The sequence below is a fragment of the Homo sapiens genome, chromosome 7 (genome assembly GCF_000001405.40).
Source record: "Homo sapiens chromosome 7, GRCh38.p14 Primary Assembly".
Lineage (NCBI taxonomy): Eukaryota > Metazoa > Chordata > Mammalia > Primates > Hominidae > Homo > Homo sapiens.
In genome coordinates this window covers 99,292,586-99,319,876 of record NC_000007.14, presented here as the reverse complement: position 1 = coordinate 99,319,876, position 27,291 = coordinate 99,292,586, and the positions used below count along the sequence as shown (strand labels likewise).

At 48.1% G+C, this 27,291-nt stretch overlaps 1 protein-coding gene and 1 long non-coding RNA gene across 6 annotated transcripts in view, besides 2 other annotated features; one reads left to right on the top strand and one right to left on the bottom strand.

The window, feature by feature from the left end:
• LOC105375421 (uncharacterized) overlaps nucleotides 1-27,291 on the top strand; it is a 47,593-nt gene that overhangs the window by 5,932 nt on the left and 14,370 nt on the right. For 3 of the 4 annotated variants that reach the window (XR_927798.3, XR_927797.4, XR_007060449.1), the window contains exon 2: nucleotides 433-640. This is a non-coding gene — a long non-coding RNA (uncharacterized LOC105375421). The remainder of the gene's footprint in view (nucleotides 1-432; nucleotides 641-27,291) is intronic. The other variant, XR_007060450.1, reaches the window with a different exon arrangement.
• Nucleotides 5,075-5,154: a silencer, noted in NCBI's record as "silent region_18404". NCBI's record gives its function as "represses an Ori minimal core promoter by ATAC-STARR-seq in GM12878 lymphoblastoid cells {active_cell/tissue: GM12878}" and the evidence as "EXISTENCE:reporter gene assay evidence [ECO:0000049][PMID:35858748]".
• Nucleotides 5,185-5,274: a silencer, noted in NCBI's record as "silent region_18403". NCBI's record gives its function as "represses an Ori minimal core promoter by ATAC-STARR-seq in GM12878 lymphoblastoid cells {active_cell/tissue: GM12878}" and the evidence as "EXISTENCE:reporter gene assay evidence [ECO:0000049][PMID:35858748]".
• The window catches only part of MYH16 (myosin heavy chain 16), a 72,300-nt gene continuing 53,757 nt past the window's right edge, over nucleotides 8,749-27,291 (bottom strand). Inside the window, exons 31-41 of one of the 2 annotated variants that reach the window (NR_002147.3) lie at nucleotides 25,727-25,859; nucleotides 22,960-23,176; nucleotides 22,081-22,217; nucleotides 21,882-21,985; nucleotides 20,219-20,411; nucleotides 18,073-18,276; nucleotides 16,687-16,812; nucleotides 15,121-15,291; nucleotides 13,841-14,041; nucleotides 13,041-13,268; nucleotides 8,749-9,138 (exon numbers count right to left, since the gene is read on the bottom strand). Coding sequence is in view for 1 of the 2 variants with exons in the window: in NM_001431356.1 (NP_001418285.1) it covers nucleotides 13,068-13,268; nucleotides 13,841-14,041; nucleotides 15,121-15,291; nucleotides 16,687-16,812; nucleotides 18,073-18,276; nucleotides 20,219-20,411; nucleotides 21,882-21,985; nucleotides 22,081-22,217; nucleotides 22,960-23,176; nucleotides 25,727-25,859 (1,687 nt within the window). In the remaining variant the exon portion in view is untranslated. The remainder of the gene's footprint in view (nucleotides 9,139-13,040; nucleotides 13,269-13,840; nucleotides 14,042-15,120; nucleotides 15,292-16,686; nucleotides 16,813-18,072; nucleotides 18,277-20,218; nucleotides 20,412-21,881; nucleotides 21,986-22,080; nucleotides 22,218-22,959; nucleotides 23,177-25,726; nucleotides 25,860-27,291) is intronic. The other variant, NM_001431356.1, reaches the window with a different exon arrangement.

Here is a 27,291-nt window from a genome sequence, read left to right as displayed (position 1 = left end):
CCACCTTGGCCTCCCAAAGTGCTGGGATTACAGGTGTGAGCCACTGTGCCCGGCCTATATTTCTTATTATGTCACACTTGGATCATTTTATGTGTCAACTTGACTAGGCCACAGGGTGCCCAGATATTTGGTCAAACAGGATTCTGGGTGTTTCTGTGAGGATACTTTTGGGTGAGGTTGACTTTTAGATCAGTAGATTGAATAAAGCAGATTGGCCTCCCTAATGTGGGTGGGCCTCATCCAATCAGTTGAAGACTTGAATAGAACAAAAGGCTGACCCTCTCCTGAGTAAGAGAATATTCTCCTTCCTGATGGCTTTTTTTTTTCTCAATCCTGGAGCCAATCCAAGATCAATTGTTGCACTTAATTTTTGTTTCTTTAGTCTGATCTGGAACAGATCTTCACCTCAGTGTTTCTTTTTTTTTTTTTTAGAGATGGGGTCTTGCTGTGTTGCCCAGGGTGGAGTGCAGTGGCTATTCACAGGTGTGATCATAGCTACTATAGCCTCAAACCCTGGGTTCAAGTGAGTCCTTTGAACTAGAACATTGGCCTTTTCTGGTTCTGCAGAAGCTTCCAGCCTTCAGATTTGAACTGGGACACTGGCTCTGCAGATTTTGGACTTGCCAGCCTTCATAATTGTGTGAGTCAATTTTCCATCTCTTTATATCTCTATCTAATATCTCCTATTTGTTCTGTTTCTCTGAAGAATCCTGACTAGTATAACAGGTATTTCCTAAGACTCCCCAACCTTGGAGGGCCCCAGACTCCTGAAAGGCTGTCAAAAGTACTGCTTAGGGCTGGATGTGGTGGCTCACACCTGTCATCCCAGCACTTTGGGAGGTCGAGGTGGGCGGATCACCTGAGATCAGGAGTTCAAGACCAGCCTGGCCAACATGGTGAAACCCTGTATCTACTGAAAATACAAAAATTAGCTGGGCGTGGTGGCGCACACCTGTAATTCCAGCTACTCCAGAGGCTGAGGCAGGAGAATCTCTTGAACCTGGGAAGTGGAGGTTGCAGTGAGCTGAGATGGCACCATTGCACTCCAGCCTGGGCGACAGAGTGAGACTCCTTCTCAAAAAAAAACAAAAAAAAACAAAACAAGTACTGCTTAGGCTCTCAGCCACCTGTTCTGGAATCACCAAGTAGCCCTTGGGGTAAAACAGTCCTGCTGATGGGCTCACTCTCTTACATACTCTGTTCTCTTGGACATTGACCTGGTAGGTATTTACTACCTCATTAGTGCTCTCTTATCTTTGAGTAGATATTTTGTATATTTTGCCCACTTTTCTAATTATCACTAATGGGAGGGTTGTCTGTTGCCCCAGTGCTCCATTATCAGAATCATTCGGCAAGTAGCCATTAAAAAAAAAATCCCATTTGTCCATTTCAGTTTGCTAAATCTTGTTGCATTTAATTATCTATCTTTAACTCACTATTATGTTGTTGTTTGCTTTACTGTACATGTTAGTTGCAGGTTGGGGAGGATATCTAATTCTCATTCAATAGAGTGCATATCATTGTGTACTATTGCAAACGTAATCACCATGGAGTTCATTAAGTGTTAAATAATTAGATAATTCATGTTTAAATGTTTATATTATGCAGAAATGTTTGGAGGATTGTTTTATAGATGTTTGAGAGGGTTTTAGTGATATTTGGAGAAACTGGAGTTTCTGCACAGGCTAGGAATACATTCCTATTTTCTCATTTAAAATAACTTCATATGGGCTTATTTGATCTGAGAATTGTTTTCAGGAATGAATTAACCTGGGAGGATCGTAGTTCTAATTGTAGCATATAGTGTACCTCTGTTTTGCATGCTTATATCACAAATGTATTTGTAGGCTTCTTACCATATCACGCTCCCAAGGAAGATGTTGACAAAAGCCTCGTAATCCCCCACCTGGAGAGAAGTTAACCAATACAAGAGTGTCTCTAGGAGGAGATTTAAAGTGGTAGAAAATCGCAAGTCTAATGGTTATTTTTATAGGAACCCTGAATGAAATAGCTGGTTTGCTCATGAGCGTAACCATTCTTGCTTGATTCTTACTTCTGCACCCAGATCTTAAGTGCAAGTGAGCCCAAGAATATGGGCCCATCCACACCTGCCCTCTAGGTGATCTCACAAGCTCTTGGCTTCAGCCACCACCCATAGACTGCCAACCTGCAGATCTGCATCTCAGTTTGTTCCTGACCCCTGTTAATTCATACTGCTCCCTCATGACAGTCTCCACCTGGTGTCTCATCACCTCCCACCTCAGTTCAATTGATGTCAAACCTGATGTTTGCCTCTGCTCCCCACCTCAGATTCTGCTCTCCTCTACCTCTCAGACCAAGGTATCATCATCCACCACAGATTGATTAATGGCCCCCAGGAAGTTAGTTACCAAGTCATAGCACCTCCACCTCCTATGTATTTCTTTTTTTCCTTAAAAACTTTCAAACCTACAGAAAAGTTGCAAAATATGTGAGAATAATGAATATCAATATACCTGTTTCCTTAAATTTACCACTTGTGAACATTTTGTCACATTTGCTTTCTCTCTCTCTCATATATATATATATATAAAATATGTGTATCTGTGTAATAGTAATAGTGATATAATTATTTGTTGAGTCATTTTGTAAGTCACAGACATGAGACTCTTCACTCCTCATACTTCAGTATGTATCTCTGGAGAACACGGAAGTTCTCTTTTACAACTGTAATACAATTAAATTTAGGACATTTAACATTAATTCAATGTTATTTACTATAATAATAAATATGTTAGTTACAAATCTTAATATAACAAATTAATATGTTAGTTATAAGTTTATATTCAAATTTCACTTGTGCCAATAATGCCTTTTTTTACTTTAAAAAAAATTTTTTTTTTCATTTTTCGGACAGTCTTGCTCTGTTGCCCAGGCTGGAGTGCAGTGGTGCAATCTCAGCTCACTGCAACCTCTGCCTCCAGGGTTCAAGCGATTCTCGTGCCTCAACCACCTGAGTAACTGGGATTACAGTTGCAGGCCACTATGCCTGGTTAATTTTTGTATTTTTAGTAGAGATGGAACTTCACCATGTTGCCCAGGCTGGTCTCAAACTCCTGGACTCAAGTGATCTGCCTGCATCAGGCACCCAAAGTGCTGGGATCACAGGTGTAAGCCACTGTGCCTGGTCAATAATGTCCTTTCTAGCTTTTTTTTTTTTTTCCCCGCAATCCTGGAGCCAATCTGAGATCAGTTGTTGCACTTAGTTCTTATCTTTCTTTAGTCTAATCTGGAACAGTTCTTCACCTCAGTCTTTTTTTTTTTTTTTGAGATGGGGTCTTGCTGTGTTGCTCAGGGTAGAGTGCAGTGGCTATTCACAGGTGCAGTCATAGCTACCACAGCCTTGAACTCCTGGGCCCAAGTGACCCTGCCTCAGCCTCCCAAGTATCCCAAGTAGCTGGGACTAGAGACAAGGTCCTCAGCCATTTTTTTTGTTTTTGGCTTTTGTGAAATTGGGAGTCTTTTTTTTTTTTTGAAACAAAGTCTTGCTCCGTCACCCAGGCTGGAGTGCAGTGGTGCAATCTCGGCTCACTACAACCTCCGCCTCCTGGGTTCAAGCGATTCAAGCCTTCTGAGTAGCTAGGATTATAGGCGTGTGCCACCACACCTGGCTAATTTTTGTATTTTTAATAGAGACAGGGGTTTCACCATGTTGGTCAGGCTGGTCTTGAACTCCTGACCTCGTGATCTGCCCGCCTCAGCTTTCCAAAGTGCTGGGATTACAGGCATGAGCCACGGCACCTGGGGAGTTGGAGTTGGGAGACTTAAACAGCCCACACCAGTTGTTTTCTAGAATGTTGGAGTTGGGAGTCTTAAACAGCCCACACCAGTTATTTTCTAGAATGTTCCTTGATGGAGGTGGACACCTTAATCAAGTGATCAAAGTTGACATCACGAACAGAGTTTAGGTTGACATCATGTATCTTCCAGTGTGCTGCAGTAGGTGAGATACAACTTCACCTACATTATATACAGGACCTGAATCGGATCATGAGGAAACCATCGGACACATCTCTTTCACCCTTAGAATAAAGTCTGCACTCCATAACAAGTCACAGAGGTCTCTGTGGTCTATCACCTTTGTCTCTGACCACGTCGTCTATGTGGTAGACACTGGCTGCCCACACAACACCTTTCCCTACTTGGCTTCCCTACTTTTGTTCTGGTGGCTTTCAGGGAAGCTAGGCCCTCCCCAAGTCCAGGGAGTGAACCACGATTGGTCCATGTCTAATACAGCAAGCCCATTCCCACTTGCCACTAATTGGTTTTGGGATGGCCGTGTGCCATCAATTTCTGCCAATCAACACTCACAAGTTCGTTTCATGGGGAGCTTCTGGAAAAAAATGTACTCCTTGATAAAAGGATGGCAAGTTCAGGCCGGGCACGGTGGCTCACGCCTGTAATCCCAGCACTTTGGAGGCCGAGGCAGGCGGATCACAAGGTCAGGAGATCGAGACCATCCTGGCTAACACGGTGAAACCCCGTCTCTACTAAAAATACAAAAAAATTAGCCGGGTGTGGTGGCGGGCGCCTGTAGTCCCAGCTACTCGGCGGGGCTGAGGCAGGAGAATGGCGTGAACCCGGGAGGTGGAGGTTGCAGTGAGCCGAGATCGTGCCACTGCACTCCAGCCTGGGCACAGAGGGAGACTCCGTCTCAAAAAAAAAAAAAAAAAAAAAAAAGAGATGGTAAGTTCTCCGCTCACTGCAAGCTCCGCCTCCTCGGTTCATGCCATTCTCCTGCCTCAGCCTCCTGAGTAGTTGGGACTACAGACACCCGCCACCATGCCTGGCTAGTTTTTTGTATTTTTAGTAGTGACGGGGTTTCACCGCATTAGCCAGGATGGTCTTGATCTCCTGACCTCATGATCCGCCCGCCTCAGCCTCCCAAAGTGCTGGGATTACAAGCATGAACCACAGCACCCAGCCCTTATCTTTTTACTAGCTTAAACATGGCAGGGGAAGATATGATGCCTAACGCTGTTGGCAATCACCTTGACAGGCCCAAGGATGCTGCAGGATGGAAAGGTGGAGACCTGGCGCTTTCACACCGCACTCATTCTGAAACCATCTGCCGGGGCGGGGTGGGGTGTGTGTGTGTGTGAGATTGTTAAATGTCTCTGCCACGTATGCCATTGTTGGCTCAGTGTGCTGCCACCTGCAGCCAAGCACACTCTTAGCTGACACACCCTACCTACCTCCTCCTGCTCTCCCACTCTTCTTCCCACAAGCCCTCTCTCCCCTGGATGCCTAACTCCTACTCACCTTAAGCTTCAGCAGAGACATGACTTCTTCCAGACACATTCCTTTATCCTCCAAGACTGGGCCGAGTGCCTCTCCTGTAGCACCCTGTACCTACTCCTACGGGAGCCTTTCTGATCACCAGACCTAATTCCCATAATGCATTTCTCCCTTTAGTCTGGTTACTTTATTGCTGCCATATTTAAAGTTGGTTTTTAAAAACATCTGTAGGCCAGGCACAGTGGCTCACACCTGTAATCCCACCGCTTTGGGAGGCCGAGGCGGGCGTGTCACCTGAGATCAGGAGTTCAAGACCAGCCTGGGCAACATGGTGAAACTAAATCTCTCTAAAAATCTCTACTAAAAATACAAAAATTAGCCAGGTGTGGTGGTGGGCGCCTGTAATCCCAGCTACTTGGGAGGCTGAGGCTTGAGAATCACTTGGACCTGGGAGGTGGAGGTTGCAGTGAGCTGAGATTGTGCCATTGTACTCCAGCCTGGGCAACAAGAGCAAAACTCCATCTCAAAAAAACAAAAACAAACAAAAAACATCTGTAGAGGGAAGTTTTATGGAAGTATTACTGCAAAGCTACAGAACACATTTTTTATTAGCCTAAGCCAGGGCTCAGGAAGAAGTGGAAAGAAGAGTCCCTTATAATAGCTGACAGGTTCCCTTTTAGCCTTTGATTCAACCATAACTCAAGGTTGACCTTTTCATGACAAATCCCTAGCCGGAGGACAAGTGTTGAAGTCCTACGGAATGCTAGGAGAAACTGGGCAAGTGTCTAATTGCAAAGTCACACTGCCGGGAAAGTGGAACCTGTATCTGTCTGACTTCAGAGGGTACAGATTTGACTTATGTGATTATAGAGGTGAAGGCTGGAGCAAAGTAAGGGCAAAATGCAGGGACATACATTCTCATTCAATATTAAGTGGGACTTTTTGACCATGATCATTAGTCAAAACTGGAATGGGGCCGGGCACAATGGCTCACACCTGTAATCCCAGCACTTTGGGATGCCAAGGTGGGAGAATCACATGAGCCCAGGAGTTAAAAGCTAGTCTGGGCAACATAGTGAGACCCCATCTCTACAAAAAACAAAAAAAATCAGCTGGGTGTGGTGGTGTGCACCTGTAGTCCAAGTTACTTAGGAGGCTGAGATGGGAGGGTCCCTTGAACCTGGGAGATTGAGGCTGCAGTGAGCTATCACACCACTGCACTCCAGTCTGGGCAACAGAGTAAGACCCTGGTTTTGGTTTTGTTTTGTCTCAAAACAAAACTAAAAACTGGAATGGGCTGCCTTTTTTCACTGGGAAGGTTCACGTAGAAGTTGGATTATCATTTCTTTCAGGGATATTATGGGGGGGAATCCCCAGCTGCTTCAGAATTGGTCTAGATGCCCTTTAAATGCCCCTTCCAGCCCTAGAATTTTGTAATACACAATTCTAAGATTCTGTGATTTGGTGTCTCCCGGGAAATCCACACGCAGCAGTTAGAGACCCTGCCACCAGAGGGCAGTGTTATCACATTTGGTCCAATTGCATAGAAGGAACCAAAGTTCCCTCCAGGGCTCCGACTAGAGAACGCCCAGTTGTTTATTTTTTTGAGATAGGGTCTCGCTTTGTCACCTAGGCTGGAGTGCAGTGATGCCATCAGAGCTCACTGCAGCCTCGACCTCCCGGGCTCAAGTGATCCTCCTTCAGGCTCCCAAGTAACCGGGACTACAGGCGTGCACCACCATGGTTGGCTAATTTTTACATTTTTTGTAGAGACAGGGTCTCAATATGTTGCCCAGGTTGGTCTTGAATTCCTGGCCTCAAGTGATCCTCCTGCCTCGGCCCCCCAAAGTTCTGGAATCACAGGAATGAACCACCTTGCCCAGCCGAGAGTGCCAAGTTCAGAACTATCACAGGGGTGATGTGCCCTTTTGTGAAGGTGGAGAGGGACCCACCAAAGAAGTAGTGTTCCTCTCTCCACCACCCCAGACAGTGATTTCTGCCTGCCAACAGATTGGAGAGAGGTCAGAATGCTGGAAGACACGCCATTCCCAGAGAGCCAGTGTGTTCTGAGGGCTGGGAACTGGCAGGGAGCCCTCCCTCATGGCGCTGCCCCCACCACAGCTCTCCAAAGACTAGGAGGGCAAGGAAAGGAAAGGGTCGAGGAGTATTAGAAGATCACAACGGAAACCCTGCCACGGGAGGGAGGGTTGACAGACTCAGGAATGTTCAGCCTAAAGAAGAGAAAAATTGTAGGGACCTATTTTGAGAACTGATTTCCATGAAGGTTGTTCTGTAGGGCTTTGGGTAGAAACACCAGGTCAGCGGCCGGGGCCAGTGGCTCATGCCTGTAATCCCAGCACTTTGGGTGGCTGAGGTGGGGGAATCACCTGAGGTCGGGAGTTTGAGTTCAGCCTGGCCAACATGGTGAAACCCCGTTTCTACTAAAAATACAAAAATTAGCCAGGCATGGTGGTGCATGCCTGTAATCCCAGCTACTTGGGGGGCTGAGGCAGGAGAACCGCTTGAACCCGGGAGGCGGAGGTTGCAGTGAGCCGAGATCGCGCCATTGCACTCCAGCCTGGGTGACAGAGTGAGACTGTCTCAAAAAAATTAAAAAAAGAAAGAAATAGCAGGTCAGCATGCAGATGCCACCGGGGGGCAGGTCTCATCTGGATTGAAGGAAGAACTTTCTGGCAATGTCAGGAAGGACACTACCCTGGGAGGCAGCTCATTCTTTCATTTACTCTATATGTGTTTACTATGTGCACACTTCAGCCCTGGTAGTCTCTAGTTGCTGAGGATATAGTAGTGAACAAAACAGCTAACTGCCTGCCCTCACGGAGCTGACCCACTGGTGTCTGGACATCCTGGGAGATGAGGTGGAACGTGCAGGGGCCATGTGGAGCATTAGCTTGGATGGACTTGACCTGCTCCGGAGATTCCGTAACTTTCTTGGCTTTAAGAAACCTAGTTTGTTTTCATTTCTCTGATACAGACTTTCAAAATTTGGAAAGAACTTCACCAAGACTGTATTGTTTTCATGGTTTCCAGTAGAAGCAAGCCTGTGAATTAGTATATAGGGATGCAACAAAATTTTTTTATATGGCAGTGGTAAAAATTGCCTTTGGATAAGTCTTAGGAAAAGAAAATTTCTCCATTTAAAAACAAGCTCTAAGTCTAGTGTAGTGGCTCATGCCTGTAATCCCAACACTTTGGGATGCTGAGGTGGGAGGATTGCTTGAGCCTAAGAATTCAAGACCTGTCAGGGCAACATAGTGAGAACCCATCTCTAGAAAAATAAAAGCCTGGCATAGCTGCACGTCGGTACTGCTACTGTACTGTACTGGAGGCAGAGGCAGGAAGATTGCCTGTACCCAGGAGTTCAAGGCTGCAGTGAGCCATGATTGTGCCACTGCACTCCAGCCCGAGCCGCAGAGCAAGACTCTAAGAAAGCAAAGAAGCTCCAGTTGGTCTATTTTTTTAATGTTTCTTTTATTTAAGCTATATTGGGACATTAACATTGTCAACATGAGGAATTCTTTGTAGAGAACAGCCGGGTCACAGACATTACATATTCCGTCCTTGACATGACCATGTAGGAACTCAACTGAAACAGATCCATCATTACTGTCATCCAAATGCTTACTGCCGTTCCAGAGAAGCCCCACTCATTTTCATTCCTCTAATGGCGGGTTTTACATTCTCAAGCTCATTTTCCACCATAGCGCTCTTTATTCTTCACCACCTGTCTCTTCCTGGCTTGCACTTTCTTTTGCATAGTAAACATTCTCAGGACAGACCCAGTTTTCCATTTTCATATTTTCTCCCTCTGAATGGACTGCAGTTGAGATCTGTATTACCCTGGAAAGAGAGAGAAAGAGAGATGGTGAGCAAGGTGAGCAAGTCCATGTGGGTCAGAGCTGGGAGCTCTGACATCTTTGCTCCTGTCTTGCTGGAAAGACAGCTCCCTGGGATGCCTAGGAAGCTTCTGCAAAGGCTTCCTTCCTAGTAATGGATACTGTTGAGTTATACCTAGCTTGTTCTGCATGAGGTTTTGAGGGTTTAGAGACACCTTTGGGCATAATGTGCCCATACAAGTCATTGAGTGGGCTCAGAGTGCAGTGCCCTGGGATACAGAGCTCTCCCTGAGAGCCTGCCTGTGATGTGTCACAAGGGGTTTTGCTATTGTGATGTGACCATCTTCCAAAGAAAGAAAAGCTACTTCATGTCTCATCCCACAAATGGATTTTTAAAATTAGTAAGGTTTCCTTATGGAGTTTATGGAATACTTGCACCCAGTAGAGCCATTCACAGCCTCACCCCTGCCTACCCTACCCTGCTAGCTTCATCCCCCACCGCGCTGCAGCTCTCTGAGCCCATCTACTCCAGCCAGCCTGTGCCCTTGTGCACATCCCACCTTTGCACTTTTGTGTGTGTTGGGCCTTCTGTCTGGAATTCCCTTCTCTCCTCTGCCTGGTGAAGGATCGGTTTTATTTATTCTCTTAAATTTCTGTTAAAATATTTTATATTTATGTTTTTAATTTTTTTCTTTTCAGTTTTTTTTTATTTTTTTATTTTTCTGGAGACGGACTCTCACTCTTGTTGCCCAGGCTGGAGTGGCACAATCTCGGCTCACTGCAACCTCTGCCTCACAGGTTCAAGCAATTCTCCTGCCTCAACCTCCTGAGTAGCTGGGATTACAAGGACCTGCCATCATGCCTGGCTTATTAAATAAAAACAAAATGGATGGATCAGGACATGGAGAGTAGACCCCAGAGGCACAGCCTCATCACCTCTGGGTGCCGGTGGCAGGATAGCAGCCTGATGGCATGGAAGTAGATCCTTGCTGTGACAGAGCAATTGTACCAGGTCCAGCCAAACCAGGGCAGGGGACCTGCTTTAAAGGATGTCTAATCCTGGAGCCTAAGACTCCTAGTGGAAGGAGCTGAACTGCCTTCTGAGTCTGGGTGTACAGGAAGCCTCATGAGTAGTTCCCACCTAGGTCAGAGCTCACTGGGAGGGATCCCTTTCAGGTTTTTGCCTGAAAGGTAAAACACATTAATGCAGAGACAAGCTTCTGATTTCCTTAACTTCCTGACCTAACCATTATTTCAGGGTTAGAGAATTCAGAAAAAGATTCTGTGCCCCATATTTTATCTCCTCCCTAAGCAAACGGTCAGATAAAGCTCAGCTTCACATCAAAGTTCAATGGGGTTATCGCTTTTGGCCAAAACCCAAACTGACCACCATTACTGAAAGATAGCGAATCGTAACTGAGCAGGGAAACTTACCCTCCTCACTAGGGGCTGATTCAACAAGCTGTTGATTCAGTGAGGCCAGATATAATTCCCAGAAGCCACGGAGGTCGGTGCTTAGGGTTCAGCCCCACCCCACCTCCCAAAGCGAACCAGTCTTTGATTTTTTGCTGCCCTGATTAATCCCACATAGAGGGCAACCATATCAATCTCCACAGTAACTTCAAATAAAAGATAACTTGCCTTTTCATAGCACAGGGTGTGTGTGACCATGAGCAAGTCACCAAACTTCTCCAAGCTCATTTTCCTCACCTGACAAACGGGGATATTTATACCTACCTTGTAGGGTAGAAAAGAGAGTGAAAAGCATTTTCCATGCACTTAGCCACCACCACGCTCATTTTTTACATTTTTTTGTAGAGATAGGGTCTTGCTATGTTGCCCAGGCTGGTCTCGAACTTCTGGCCTCAAGTGATCCTCCCACCTTGGCCTCCCAAAGTGTTGGGATTAGAGGCGTGAGACACTGCGCCCAGCCCTTTCAGTTGCCTTTTCTTTCTTAGCACTTGGCTCTTGTTAAAGGAGAAACCTCCACACCCTGGCTCCATGTATCTGGGTGGTTCTCAAACTCAGTCACACATCTGAGTCACCTGGAGGGCTTGCTAAATCACAGATGCTGGGCCCACCCCCAGAGCTGCTGATGCATAGGTCTGGAGCCAGGCCTAAGAATAGGCACTTCTAAGAATGTCGTAGGTGACACTGATGCTGCTGGTCCCGGGACCATGTTTTGGGATCCACTCCTCCAGAATCACATTCTGTGCCTTACCCCTCATTTTCCTTTTGCTTCTGTCCATGGGAAAAGGAGTGATTGATCTTGTTTTTGGAATAAGGAACCAGGAAGGCAGAGCTGAGCCCCATCTAATCTCTCCTTTTAGATCTACTCCCAGGGATGATGGGTTCTGATTGTTCCTCTCCTAGGAATAGTGGCTACTCCCCGGGGATCAAGCCTGCATTTGTTCAGTTCTGGTTTTTTTTTTTTTTTTTTTTTTTTTTTAGACAGAGCCTCGCTCTGTCACCCAGGCTGGAGTGCAGTGGCGTGATCTTGGCTCACTGCAACTCGTGCCTCCTGGGTTCAAGCAATTCTAGTGCCTCAGCCTCCCGAGCAGCTGGGATTACAGGCGTGTGCCATCACGCCTGGCTAATTTTGTATTTTTAGTAGAGTTGGGGTTTCAGGTATCTTTAATTTTGAGGCAAAGTATGAGGATGCCTATGGTGGACACACATTAAAGCCCCATCCTCAATCTAGAATTATGGCATATTAAAACTGGTATTTGGGTCAGGCATGGTGGCTCATGCCTGTAATCCCAGCACTTTGGGAGGCTGAGGCAGGTGGATCACAAGGTCAAGAGACTGAGACCATCCTGGCCAACATGGTGAAACCCCGTCTCTACTAAAAATACAAAAATTAGCTGGGCATGGTGGTGTGCACCTGTAGTCCTAGCTACTTGGGAGAACTGCTTGAACCTGGGAGGCGGAGGTTGCAGTGAGCCGAAATCCCACCACTGCACTCCAGCCTGGTGACAGAGTGAGACTCTCAAATAAATAAATAAAACTAGTATTTTGACTTTTTTTTCTTTGAGATGGGGCCTCACTGTGTTGCCCAGGCTGGAATGCTAGATCATTGTAACCTCAGACTCCTGGGCTCAAGGGATCCTCCTATCTCAGCCTCCTGAGTAACTGGGACTACAGGTGTGCACCACCATGCCTGGATAATTTTTTTTTATTTTTGTAGAGACAGGGTTTCACTGTGTTGCCCAGGCTGGTCTTGAACTCCCGGGCTTAAACCATTTTCCCCCTTGGCCTCTGAAAGTACTAGGATTTACAGGCACAAGCCACTGTGCCCAGCCTATTTTAACTTTTATATATTTATCTCCAATATTTTTTGTCCTTGATTAGTTCTGAATTAAGGGGAATAAAGACTACTTTAAATTGTTTCCTTAAAATCCCACCTGCACTCAGTGTTCAAGAAATGGTAGCTGTGATGATAATTATCATTTTCTTAGTGTTAGAGACCTGAATTCAACCAGGATTGATGAAATCTCCAGTGAAAAATGATATTGTGGGGGACACGAAAGATAACACACATTGCCATAAGCTTGTGGACGTCCCTGTGACTGTACTAAGCACCTAGGTTCCAAGGCTAGTGTCAAGTGGCATCACACTTGGGAACCGCCCTTCTGTGCAGATGGGGGAACATCAGGTCGGCCAGCACCTGTGATACAGGTGAACAGCACCCCACCCGAGGGCTGTGACACTCTAGAGGAGTTTTGCAGCTGAAGAAGGAGGGGAAGAGCTTTGGGGTTCCTGTTGCATGAGACTGGGTGTGACAAAGACTGGAGCTGGGGAGCAGGGGGAGTATGGCTGGGTCACATAGTACCAATACTAGCAGCAAAGCCAGTGCAGGGAAGGAGCGCTCTGAGCGAGACCGTCCAGAGCGGAGTCCACACCTACCAGTTGTGGCCTAGGACACGGAGGGCCTCACTCCTCAGAAAGGGTTTTCGAGGTGCCTGTCTTGGACACCTGGATGATCTCCACAGAGGTGATGCCCTTGCCGGCCACGCGGTGTCTGGTGCGCAGCTTGTTTAGGGCAGTCTCTGCCATGCCAGCCCGGTCCTCAGCGTCATCCAGCTCATGCACCGTCTTCCTGTATCGAGCCAAGGTCTGGTTGGCCTGGTCCTCCTGTGACAAAGGCACGGCGGGAAACGGGGCATAAACGTGGCTGGTTCTGGTTAAGTGTGCATTAAAAAAAAATTTTTTTTTTGAGAGACAGTCTCGCTCTGTCGCCCAGGCTGGAGTGCAGTGGTCTGATCTCGGCTCGCTGCAACCTCCACCTCCTAGGTTCCAGCAATTCTCCTGCCTTAGCCTCCCAAGTAGCTGGGATTAAGGTGCCCGCCACCACGCCTGACTAATTTTTGTATTTTCAGTAGAGATGGGTTTCACCATGTTGGCCAGGCTGGTCTCAAACTCCTGACCTCAGGTGATCCACCTACCTCGACCTCCCAAAGTGCTGGGATTACAGGCATGAGCCACCATGCCTGGCCTCTTTACAAGTTCTTATCTCTGGTGTGTAGTGTCTGGTCCTCCCTCCCACTGGATTCCAAGGAGGAGACACCATGGACATGAGCCTCGCAGAGTCATCTTAGGGCCAGTGCTTGCTTCTTTCCCTGTGGTTAATTCCCAGCAAGGCTGGCGACCCGCACTGAGAAACAAGAGTGAGGGAAGGAGGAGTGGGGAGGCGCATGGACACCCACCGCCTCCTCAATCTGCCTCTTGTAGACCTTCAGCTTGTTCTGAAGCTTCTCCACCAGCGCCTGCATGCGCTGATTGGTCTTGTGGTCCTCCTCTGTCTGGAAGACCAGCTCTTTGAGGCGACGCTCATTCTTACACAGTGTCTTGACTGTCTCCACGTGCTGTTTCTGTTCCCCATCCAGCTCTGTCTCTAGTTCCTTGATCTGTGGGAGGAAGAGAGGAATGCGGCTGAGCGAACGTGTGTGTTTTGTTTTTTGTTTTTCTGACAGGGTCCTGCTCTGTTGCCCAGGCTGGAGGGCAGTGGCGTGATCATGGCTTACTGCAGCCTTGACCTCCTGCGCTCAAGTGATCCTCCTGCCTCAGCCTCCTGGAACATGTGGTTTTGAGCTTCAGAGCTCAGTGGCCTCAGACAGGGGCGTTGTGGCTGCAGTGTCCACTGCCTGCCCAGAGGTGAGGGGATGGACCCTGGACAGGAGAGTTGGGTGGGCTCTGGCTTTTATAGGCCATGCTGTGATTGTCAGACACTTTCTCTTGAGCCTCAAATTCCCTCATCTGGGAAATGGGGGTGTTAGGGAGTCAGACAAAATGATGGAATCTTCTGGGCCCTTCCAGCTCTGGCATTTCATGGGGTAAAGACTAAGGCTTGTTTTCTTTCAGTTAGTAAAAAAAGGCAAGGAGAATATTGGGGACTGCTCTGCTTGAGGCTAAGGACATTCTGGGGAGGAAGGTGACAGGGAGGGAAAGAGGAGAGGAGAACTTGAGAGAAATTAGAGCTCTTCCCTCAATTTCCTTTTCTCTTTCTTTCCCTCCCTTCCTTCTTTCTTTCTTTCCTTCTTTTCTCTTTTTTTCTGAGACAGGGTCTGGCTCTGTCACCCAGGCTGAAGTGCAGTAGTGCTATCATAGCTCACTGTAGCCTCAACCTCCTGGGCTCAAGCAATCCTCCCAACTCAGCCTCCTGAGTAGCTGGGACTACAGGCATGTGCCACCACACCCAGCTAATTTAACATTTTTTTTTTAAGAGATGGAGGTCTCACTATGTTGCCCCGGCTGGTCTCAAACTCCTGGCCTCAAGCGATCCTCCCGCCTTGGCCTCCTAAAGTATTAGGATTACGGGCGTGAGCCACTGCACCTGGTCCTTTCAATTTCTTCTTAACAGTTGCATAACCCGATTCTTCATCAAATGCAGGACATGTTTTTGGCAAAAGACAGGCATCTCACACACATACCCCCCGCCCCGCCAGATCCCCATTCCTCCCTTGGCTGAGCCCTGCATCGCCCTTACCCTGGCCTCCAGCTTCATGATCGTTCGCTTGCCGCCTTTCAGAGCCAGCTGCTCGGCCTCCTCCATCTTGGCTTGCAGGTCTTTGATGGTGACCTCGTAGTTCTTCTTGATCTTCTCCAGGTGCATGCAGTGGTCCTGCTCTTGCCGGAGTTCTTCTGCCATGCGGGCAGCCTGCAGGTGGGGAAAAGAAGAGCAGGGGTTGGAGCTGGGTGCTACCCAGGCTCATAGCTCCTTTGAGAGATGTGAGGCCTTGTCTCCCGGTCTCTAGGAAACCAACTGGTTGACAAGGGAAGCCCCGCTGACATGCTGCTGGGGTTTGGTGGAAGGGGTGCTCTATGCTCCCCTTTGCCCCCGAGAGGGGAGGGGGAGCCAAGCTCATGCCTCCCATCCCCACAGACTCCCAGCAGCTGGGCACACTCAAGCCAAACCCTACTGACTGCTGTCTCCATGAGGGGCACAGCATGGAGGGTGAGAAAAGCACAGCCTCTGGAGTTGGAAGACCCAGGACTGTGTCTGGCCCTGAGTGACCTTCAGCATGTTGCTTATCCCCTCTCAGTCCCTTTCTCCTTACATTCATTCTACAAATGTTCATGAGGGTCTACCGTGGGCCGGACATGGGCCTGTGCTCTTGGGAGGTAGCAACAAGTAAGACCAGCAATGTTCCTGAACTCCTGAGATTTCGATCAAGTGAGAGGAGCCTGATGATGAAAATCTGTATTCCTTCATCTTCCAAGTGGGGAGTAAACAGAACCCACCACTCGAGGCTGGTGTGAACACCCGAAGGGATACTGGGCTGAGAGCACTTGGGGGCATATCCTGCCAACATCCTCCACTGCGTCCCCAGGCTCATCCACCAATGTCCTCCTCTGCGTCCCTGGGCTCATCCATCTTCCTTTTACTAGCCCTTCCCTCAAGGCTGTTTGCTTTTATTGTTATTGTTATTATTTCATGTTCTGAGACAGGGTCTTGTTCTGTCGCCCAGGCTGCAGTGCAGTGGCGGGATCATGACTCACTGCAACCTCAAACTCCTGGGTTCAGGTGATCCTCCTGTCTCAGCCTTCTGAGTAGCTGGGACTACAGGCACATGCCATGATGCCCGGCTAATTTTTAACATTTTTAGTAGAGACAGGGTCTTGCTATGTTGCCCAGGCTGGTCTTGAACTTATGGCCTCAAGCAGTCCTGCTGCCTTGGCCTCCCAAAGTGCTGGGATTACAAGCGTGAGCCACCATGCCTGGCCCAAGGCTGTTTTAATGCATCTCATTGCCAAAAAGGCTGCCCAGATGAACCCACTTTGATGGCTTCTTTGATGCAAGACCCCGGGCCTTGTGCTATAATCTTTCACATAATCACCTAGAGCTTGTAATTCTTTCTTACTTTCACGTGTGTGGCTTTTTTAGAAAAGCCTTGGGCTCCTCCAGAGCAGGGCCACATTCTCCCTGGCAGGGAACCATGCTCGGGTCCACAGTGGCCCACGATGGGAGGAGGTGGCCTTCCTGCCCAGGCAGCCTGGTCCTCAGCAGGCGCCTAGGCCCTGCCTGCTAGCAGCAAGGGGCACACGCACTTACGTCCATCATGGCCTTCTTGGCCCTCTCTTCGGTCAAGCGGAACTCACTGATGAGCTCCTCATGCTCGTTGGAGATGCGCTGGACATCTGACTCCAGCTTGCGTTTGACCACGAGGAGGCTCTGGTTCTGGAGGAAGAAATGGAGATATCACTATGAGCCAGGGGTCTGCATGGGCCTTCCTGTGTCCAGGAAAGAACATGACCTCTGCCAGACATGCTTGCCAGACCCCAACAGGAAATGGCCCTGGGCCCTCTGCGTGGGGTATGGGTCCCTCTCCTGCATTCTTTTTTTTTTCTTTTTTTTTTTTTTAGGCAGGATCTTGCTCTGTTACTCAGGCTGGATTATGCAGTTGTGCAATCACAGCTCACTGCGGCCTCAATCTCTTAGGCTCAAGCGATCCTCCCACCTCAGCCTTCCAAGTACCTGGGACTACAGATGCACACCACCACACCCAACTAATTTTTCATATGTTTTTAGAGACAGAGTCTGGCTATGTTGCCTAGGTTGGTCTTGAACTCTTGGCCTCAAGCAGTCCTCCCACCTCTGCCTCCCATAGTGCTGGGATTACAGACGTGAGCCACTGTGCCTGGCCAGGATTATATATTTTATTTTATTTTTATTTTTGAGTCAGAGTCTCTCTCTGTCGCCTAGGCTGGAATGCAGTGGCATGATCTTGGGTCACTGCATCCTCGACCTCTGGGGTTCAAGTGATTCTTGTGCCTCAGCCTCCCAAGTAGCAGCTGGGATTATGGTATGCATCACCACACATGGCTAATTATTGTATTTTTAGTAGAGATGGGGTTTCACCATGTTGGCCAGGTTGGGATGTGTGTGTGTGTGTGTGTGTGTGTGTGTGTGTGTGTGTGTGTGTGTATATATTTTTTTTTTTTTGAGATGGTCACTCTGTCACCCAGGCTGGAGTGCAGTGGCATGATCTTGGCTCACTGCAACTTCCGCCTCCCGGGTTCAAGCAATTCTCCTGCTTCAGCCTCCTGAGTACTTGGGATTACAGGTGTGTGCCACCACACCTGGCCAATTTTTGTATTTTTAGTAGAGACGGGGTTTCATCATGTTGGCCAAGCTGGTCTCGAACTGCTGACCTCAGGTGATCTGCCCACCTCAGCCTTCCAAAGTGCTGGGATTATAGGCATGAGCCACAGTGCCTGGCCCAGGCTGGGATATATTTTATATCCTGGACTTTTAAGTCACAATTTTACAAAAAGCTCTGCAGATGAGTTTTGAGGATTTGCTGAGTGGGGTGCACTGCCTGCCTCTGAGTTTTGAGGGGGGCTCACGTGGTTTGGGCACCATCCCGGCCTCACCCCAGCACCCCCTAACCCCCGGAGTGTGGGTGCGAGTGGCACTGACCCAGGAGCCCTGTCCTACCTGGATGTTGATCTCGTTGTGCCATTCGGTGATCTCCACCACTTCCTGCTCCAACAGCTTGCGTGAACGCTCGCTGCCCTCCAGGGCTGAGCGCACCTCCTCCAGCTCCGTCTGCAGCAGGCTCAAGCGCCGCTCCTGCAGGTTGTACTGCTTCCGCAGCTCCTCGTGCTGCCTGGCATCCTCGTCCATCTGGACCTGCAGGTCCTGGGGGGCACAGGGACCCAGCCTCAGCCCATACACTGGGCCGTGGTATCACCTTGGGGGTGGCCAGGCGTGAGGGCGCTGTGACCTTTATCGACTGGGTTCAGCAGGAAACTGGGCAGGCGGGGAGGCCACAGAAGAAGAGTGAGGAACAGACCTGGTCTTGGGAAGTTTATGGTATGGTGGAGCCCCAGCAGGGCCAGGACCCAGGAAGTTATCTAACATAAGGTCAACATGAAGTCAAACCTTTCCTGATGATAGAGCACCTGGTGTTCCCAGCACAGCCTTCTCCAGGAGGCCTTCCCAGTGACCTCTGCCAATCATATTCTAATCCTGGCTAGGCTGATGCTCCGCTCTCTTCTGTCCTCTTATTTCTCTCTCTCTCTTTTTTTTTTTTTTTTTTTTTTTGAGACAGAGTCTTGCTCTGTCCCCTAGGCTGGAGTTCAATGGCATGATCTCAGCTCCACTACAATCTCCGCCTCCCGGGTTCAAGTGATTCTCCTGCCTCACCTTCCCAAGTACCTGTGATTACAGGTGCCTGCCACCACACCTGGCTAATTTTTATATTTTTAGTAGAGATGGGGTTTTGCCAGGTTGCTCAGGCTGGTCTCAAACTCCTGACCTCAAGTGATTTGCCCACCTCGGCCTCCCAAAGTGCTGGGATTACAGGCGTGAGCTACTGCGCCTGGCCTGTCCTCTTATTTCTCCATAGGACTTATCACCAGTTTTAATAATACAGTTTTATTTTTGTTGCTGTCTGCTTGGGGATGTTTGTCTGTTTTGTCCACTCTGTTTTGTTTTTGAGACAGGGTCTCTGTCACCCAGGTTGGAGTGCAGTGGTGTAGTCACAGCTCACTGCAATCTCCAACTCCTGGGCTCAAGCGATCCTTCCACCTCAGGCTCCTGAGTAGCTGGAACTACAGGCACGAGCACCACCATGCCTGGCTAATTTTATTTTTTGTGGAGATGGGGTCTCGCTATGATGCCCAGGCCAGTCACGAACTCAAGCCTGGCGTCAAGCAATCCTCTCTCTTCAGCCTCCTGAGTAGCTGGGACTACATGTGAACACCAAATGTGTCCAGCATTGTCTTGTCCACTCTTGGACACCTAAAACAGTACCTGGTTAGGGCACATCTCCAGTTAGCAAGTGTTGGATGTGTGGTTCCAGCCATGTATACTGTAAAGACCAGCCTCATAATGGAATGATTGTAAAGGGGTCTTCAGCTCTGTTTGTGTTTATTTTTTAAAGCAAGTAGTGGGTATATGAGTTTTGTTGTGTTCTTCATTTCTCTATGTCTGAAATAGTTTATAATAAGTAAAAAATGATTTTACAAATCAAGACAGGGCTGGGCGTGGTGGCTCACGCCTGTAATCCCAGCACTTTGGGAGGCTGAGGTGGGTGGATCACCTGAGGTCAGGCATTGGAGATCAGCCTGGCCAGTATGGTGAAACCCCATCTCTATTAAAAATACAAAAATTAGCTGGGCGTGGTGGTGGGTGCCTGTAATCCCAGCTACTCAGGAGGCTGAGGCAGGAGAATTGCTTGAACCTGGGAGGCAGAGGTTACAGTGAGCCGAGATTGCACCACTGCACTCCAGCCTGGGTGACAAGAGCAAAACTCCATCAAATAAATAAATAAATAAATAAATAAATAAATAAATAAATAAATAAATAAAATAAAATAAAAATCTAGACGGGCCCAACTTCCTGTTTCCCTCCTTTGGTCCATCTTTCCAATTGTCCAGAATCTGGACTTTCGGTGGTTGAGGGCCTCTTCTTTATATAGTCCCCAAGCCTCCTGTTCCCTGGACTGCCAGCCACCCCACATTCTCTTATGCCTTTATGCTAGCTGAAGACATGCATTGAGTTAGCCCCCTTTAGGCCTTCAGACTCAACCAATGATGGTGTGCCTTGTATCTCATTTCTCCTCCTCCCAGATCGCTACCTTGATTTGCTGTTGCAGCCTTTTCAATGTCTTTACAAGTTCGCTGTTGTTCTTGTTGGCGTGGTCCAGCTGGATTTCCATCTCATTCAGGTCCGTCTCCATCTTCTTCTTGAGCCGAAGTGCCTCTGCCCGGCCCTTGGCCTCTGCCTCTAGGCTGGCCTGCAAGGACTCGATTGCCCGCTGGTGGTTCTTCCTGTAAGTCCAAGCAGAGAAGACCTTGGCATACTGGGCTGGCTGTTCAGTCTGTGCTAAGCCTTCCTAGAGAAGAGGTCTCAGCATCAGCATGAGTACAGGCACCATGTCATGAAATTAAACAAACCCTTAAAAAGGTGCAAGACAGGGATGAGGGTTTCATGCTTTGGGGAAATAAAAGGAAGGTCATTTTGTTGTTTTAGAGTCACTCTGTGGCTCAGGCTGTAATGGAAAAACCGTCACATTCTGTGATGGTGTAGTAGTGTGATCATAACTCACTGCAGCCTTGAACTCTGGGGCTCAAGTGATCTTCCCATCTCAGCCTCCCCAGTAACTGGGACTACAGGCCATACCACCACACCCAGCTATTTTTTTTTTTTATTTTTATTTTTTATTTTTTTTTTGTAGAGCGGGGTTTTGCTATGTTGCCCAGGCTGATCTCAAACTCCTGAGCTCAAGGGATCCTCCCATCTCAGCCTCCCAAAGTGCTAGGATTACAGGCGTGAGCCACTGCGCCCAGCCAAAATTAAATAACCTTTATGCTTCAACGGATACTTTTAAGAAAGTGACAAGACTACCTAATGCTAGATGACGAGTTAGTGGGTGCAGCGCACCAGCATGGCACATGTATACATATGTAACTAACCTGCACAATGTGCACATGTACTCTAAAACTTAAAGTATAATTAAAAAAAAAAAGCGACAAGACAACCATAGAATGGGAAAAAATATTTGCAAATCATATCTGATAAGTCAAGTGTTCAAAATATATAAAGAACTCTTACAACTCAACAATAAAAAGAAGCAATCCAATTTTTGAAAGGGGCAAAGAACAGACTTTTCTCCGAAGATATACAAACAGCCAGTAACCACATAACAGATTCTCTGCTTCATTAACCATCATGGCTAAAATACTACATCTAAAGTGTTCATAGGCCGGGCACGATGGCTCATGCCTGTAATCCCAGCACTTTGGGAGGCTGAGGTGGGCGGATCACTTGAGGTCAGGAGTTCAAGACCAACCTGGCCAACATGGTGAAACCCTGTCTCTAGTAAAAATACAAAAATTAGCTGGGCACAGTGGCACATGCCTGTGATCCCAGCTACTTGGGAGGCTAAGGCAGGAGAATTGCTTGAAACCAGGAGGCGGAAGTTGCAGTGAGCTGGGATTGCACCACTATACTGTGGCCTAGGCAACAGAGCAAGATTCTGTCTCAAAAAAAAAAAAAACCAAAAAGAACCCCCAAAAAAACCAAAAAAGAAAAACCCAAAAAACAAAGTGTTCATAAACTAGACACGGTAGTGTGAGGTACAGTCTTTATTTCCATTTCATAGATGAGGAAACATGTTCAGCAAGGTTCACCTGAATTGCCCAACGTCACGCGACTAGTAGGTGGAAGAGACTGGGGTTTCTGGACTCTGCTCCATCACACTTCCCAAGAGTCAGCCTCCCATCCCACCAGCTCCATACCTGGTAGCCTCAAATTCTTCTTCTTTCTCATGGATTCTTCGGTCGATGTCAGCTTTAACCTGAGCCAGTTCCAACTGAATTCGAATCACCTTGCTCTCTTCAACCTACCAGAAATATAACCATGAGTCTTTCTGGCCAAGAAGATGTGCAGTGCCTGGCCAAGGGTCCACAGTCCCCAAGGTGATGACCCCATGGTTACCTCCAGGGAAGACTCAGCTTCTTCCAGGGCCACCTGGAGTTCTTCCTTTTCCATCTCCAATTTTTTCTTCAACTTCTGCAGTTCATGCACACTCCTTCCTCCCTCACCCAGCTGATCAATGAGATCCTTTATCTCCTCTGAGATAGAAATATTCATGTTAATAAGACTCGGCATTCCAGGGTCATGGCAGGTGGCACCGTCATTCCTCCATTGGGGTAAGAAGCAGGCCTCCCAAAGTGCCAGGATTGCAGACATGAGCCACCACACCTGACCATAATCTTATTTCATTGTCATGACAACCTTATAAGGAGGGTAGAATTATTTCCTCATTAAATTAAATTAATTAATTAATTAATTTATTTTTGGGACATAGTGTTGCTCTGTTGCCCAGGCTGGAGTACAGTGGCATGATCTCGGCTCACTGCAACATCCACCTCCCAGGTTCAAGCGATTCTCCTGCCTCAGCCTCCCAAGTAGCTGGGACTACAGGCGCCCGCCACCATGCCCTGCTAATTTGTTGTATTTTTAGTAGAGACGGGGTTTCACCATGTTGGTCAGGCTGGTCTTGAACTCCTGACCTCAAGTGATCCGCCCGCCTCAGCCTCCCAAAGTGCTGGGATTACAGGCATGAGCTATCACACCCGGCTATTTCCTCATTTTATAGATGAGGAAAGTGAGGCACAGAAAGATTAAGCAACTCGCCTAAAGTTACACTGCTGAATGCTGAAGTGCTTCTACAAAGCACTTGCTAGAAAGTCAACATTTATTGAGCACCTACTATGTGCCAGGTACTCAACTGATGATGTGCTCAGGATGAAGGGGACTCTGGCTGTGTCCCCTCCCTACAGGCCCATCCCATCCACCTGCCCTCAGACTCACCCTGCAGGGTCTTATTCTCCTTCTTCACGGACTCTAGATGCTCCAGAGACTCCTCGTAGGCAGTCTTGATCTTGAAGCTCTCTGTCATGTACATGCGGCACTCCTTCTGCGAGCTGTCCACTTCCACCTGCAACTCCTCACACTTCTGCTGCCACTCAGCCAGCATCTTGTCAAAGAGCCTCTGCTTCTTGTCCAGGGCAGCAGCTGCAGCATTGGCCTAGGGAAAGTTGGAAATGGCCTCTAGGGGTCCAACCTCCTTGCCTCTGTCCCCTACTCCCACCCCCCCACCAACCTCTCTTCCCTCCCTTTCCCCAGTAACTCTTGAGACTACGGACTCCTTGGGAATTGGAATGTAATTCAACAGCTATGGCAGAAGCACAGAACAGAGAGTCTGCAAAGAGCTGCATGCCAGTTCTAAAACTTCCCCCGAGAGATGTGTGGCCTGGGACATTCCACCTTATTTTCCCAGGTTAGAATTCTCTCAGGTGTAAAATGAGGAGTTTGGGCCACAGCGGCCTTCCCAGATTTATGACATTCAGCCTAACTCCCCTTAATATATTTCACTGTAATGTAGTAATATACACTACACATCAACTCAAAACTTACTATTCTTAGACTTTATTTTTCTATAGATTTCATCCGTCTCATAACTCCCTGGCAACTATTTGCTGTTGTGCTATATTAGCTTTTATAAAGTTTTGCTTTGTTTCTTTCGTGGGGTAGCAAAATCTTTTTGAGTTTTAGGACTTTTTTTTTTTTTTTTTTTTTTAAATTGAGATGGAGTCTCACCCTGTCACCCAGGCTGTAGTGCAGTGGCATGATCATGGCTCACTGCAACCTCCGTCTCCTGGGTTCAAGCGATTATCCTGCCTCAGCCTCCTGAGTAGCTGGGATTACACAGGCGTGCGCCACCACGTCCGGCTACTTTTTGTATTTTTAGTAGAGATGGGGTTTCACCATGTTGGCCAAGCTGCTCTCAAACTCCTGACCTCAGGTGATCTGCCTGCCTCAGCCTCCCAAAGTGCTGAGATTATAGGCTTGAGCCACTGTGCCCAGCCTTTTTTTTTTTTTTTTTTTTTTTCCAAGAGATGAGGTCTCACTCTGTCACCCAGGCTGGAGTACAGTAGCATAATCATAGCTAACTGTAGCCTCAGCCTCTTGGACTTAAGCAATCTTCCCACCTCAGCCTCCCAAAGTCCTGGGATGACAAGCATGAACCACCTTGCCAGAACTTTTTTTCTGAAACCTCTCACATGGATATGACCTCCTGCCTACGTGGCCACTTCATGGAGCCACGTTCTTGTATTGGGCTGCATGTGGCTCCTCACGGCCAGCATGAATCATGGTTCCATCTAGACCAAGACCAGAGAGGTGTATGCCAGTGGAAATCCTATTTAATTCTCATAGAGACTGGCAACTCAGTTTGAACCAGGGATGCAAATAGGAATAGTTAGCCACGCAAAGTATGTGGGATGTAGTTTGTGTAAGAGAGAGGGGAACAGGGAAGGTGCATCATGTAACTTTCTTTTCTTTTTTTTTTGGAGCCAGAGTCTCGCTCTGTCACCTAGGCTGGAGTGCAGTGGCACGATTTGGCTCACTGCAACTCCACCTCCTGGGTTCAAGTGATTGTCCTGCCTCAGCCTCCCGAGTAGCTGGGACTACAGGTGCCTGCCACCACGCCCGGCTAATTTTTTGTATTTTATTAGAGACGGGATTTCACCGAGTTGCCCAGGCTGGTGTCGAACTCCTGAGCTCAGGCAATCCGCCTGCCTCGGCCTCCCAAAGTGCTAGAATTACAGGCATGAGCCACCGCGCCCGGCCGTATTATGTAACTTTCAGGGGCAAATTTTACCCTGCTTGTGACCCTATTTATTTATTTGAGACAGGGTCTCACTCTGTCAACCAGGCTGGAGTGCAGTGGTGCAGTCATAGCTCACTGCAGCCTTGAACCCCTGGTTCAAATGATCCTCATGCCTTAGCTTCCCAAGTAGTTGGGACCACAGGCATGTGCCACCACACCTGGCTAAATTTTTAATTTAAAACTTTTTTGGGGGCTGGGCACAGTGGCTCACGCCTATAATCCTGGCACTTAGGGAGGCCAAGGCGGGTGGATCACTTGAGGTCAGGAGTTCGAGACCAGCCTGGCCAACATGATGAAACCCTGTCTTTACTAAAAATACAAAAAATTAGCTGGGCGTGGTGGTGGGCACTGTAATCCCAGCTTCTCAGGAGGCTGAGGAATGAGAATTGCTTGAATCCAGGAGGTGGAGGTTGCAGTGAGCTGAGATCACGCCACTGTACTCCAGCCTGGGCAACAAGAGCCAAATTCCATCTCAAAAAAGAAAAAAAATATATATATATATTTTTTTTTTCTTTTTTTCTTTTTCTTTTTCTTTTTTTTTTTTTTTTTTTTTTTTGAGACAGGGTCTCCCTGTGTTGTTCAGGCTGGTCTTGAACTCCTTGGCTAAAGTGGTCCTCCTGCCTTGGCCACCCAGTGTGTTGGGATTAGAGGCATGGGCCATTGTGCTTGGTTTTGTGGCCCTGTTTAAACAGTAGCTTGTTGAATGTTAGATCTCGGAAGAGTTCATGAACACGTGCTCAAGCAGCAGCCGTTGTCCAGCAAGCTCCTGAAGGCACCCCTGCATTGCACCTTCTTGAACCATGTGTTTCTTCCTGATGACCCCAGACATGTGACAGCCTTGCCCTAGCCCTGCTGTGGGCTCTCTGCCCCGGTAAATAGGCAGCTTTGAGCATTTGACTCTCTGACCTTCTCCAAGTCGATGGTGAGGTCCTCAACTTCTGCCTGGAGTCTCTGCTTATTTTTCTCGAGGGAGGCGGCCCGGGCCTGGGCAGTTTCAGCTGCTTCTTCTGCCTCCTGAAGCCTGGCGGCCAGCTTCCTCCTGCAAATGAGGGCCAGAGGGGCTGTCAAGGAAACATAGGCACTTACAGGCACCATCTCCACACTGCCAGGGTCAGAGTGTGGTGGGCATGGTACTAAGCTCTGGTGTCAACATTGGAAACGATGCAGAGTGTTTACAGGACAGCCACAGCTGTCCATTCACTCTCTCATTTATTCATTCAACAAACACTTACTTTCTCTACCCTGCGTCAAGGATTGTTGCAGGTGTTAGGGATGCAGCAGTGAATAAAACAAGCTAGGATACCTGCCCTAACAAACGAAATGTTTGTTCTGGAGCTGGGAGGAGGCAGGCAATACATGCCCTATAGAACATAAGCACTGCAGTGACAAATAGAGCCAGGAAGGGGACAGGCAGTCCAGGTGGGAGGGGGTGACAATGTCAAATACAGACTCAGGAGAGACTCTCTGAGAAGGGGACACAGGAGCAAAGGTCTAAGCCAGGGAATGGAGGGGCCCTGAGGGTGTCTGGGGCAGAGACAAGCTTAGGGGTTGAGATTTAGGTTTAGCCCAGGAGTGGGAGCCTTGGGGGAGGACCAGGTAGTGCCCAGCAGCCTCCATAGCAAAGGCCTGAAGGACAGAGGTGGAAGTTGCAGGAAGGCAAATTTAGCTTAGAGCTTTAGATGAAAGTATTGCATCAGCTGGAAGTCACTATGCCTTATTTGCTATCATATTAGCAGAAATTTCAGTGGATGGATGGGACCAGCCAGCAGGCTGGGATCCCGGAAACACTTAGAGCACATGTGCCATTTTCTATGCCTAATTTGGCTTTATACAAGAAAAAATTTGGCCATTTTTTCAGAGAATCCAGAAAAGTCTATAGAGGAGTTTGTTAAGTTGACCATGTTCTTTGATTTAACTTGTCATGGATCCCCTCTGCTGCCTGGCCCAGGGTGGCTCACTCACAGGGCTTCCCTGCGTGCATGGGCCCAGGGACACCCAGGCCAGCCTCCTTTTACACCAGAGAGAGGCCCAGAGCCACTTTCATGTCCCCCCTTATTTCCTCAGGTGTCCACTTATGTAGTTTTTTTTTTTTTTTTAGAGACAGGATCCTGCTCTGTTATCCAGGCTGGAGTGCAGTGGCTCGATCATTGCTCACTGCAGCCTCCAATTCCTGGGCTCAAGCAATCCTCTCACTTTAGTCTCCCAAATAGCTGAGACTACAGGCACGTGCCACCATGCCTGGCTAATTTTGTAATTTTTGTAGAGATGAGGATCTCACCATGTAGCCCGGGCTGGCCTCGAACTTCTGGGCTCAAGCAATCCTCCCACCTTGGCCTCCCAAAGTGCTGGAATTACAGGCATGAGCCACCATAGCTGGCCCACAGAGCAGGCTCCTTTGTCCAGACACATTGTCCTCCTCTTAAAGCAGCCTGTGAACGTCCTTTTCCTGGGCTTGGCCCTGGCCTCAGCAG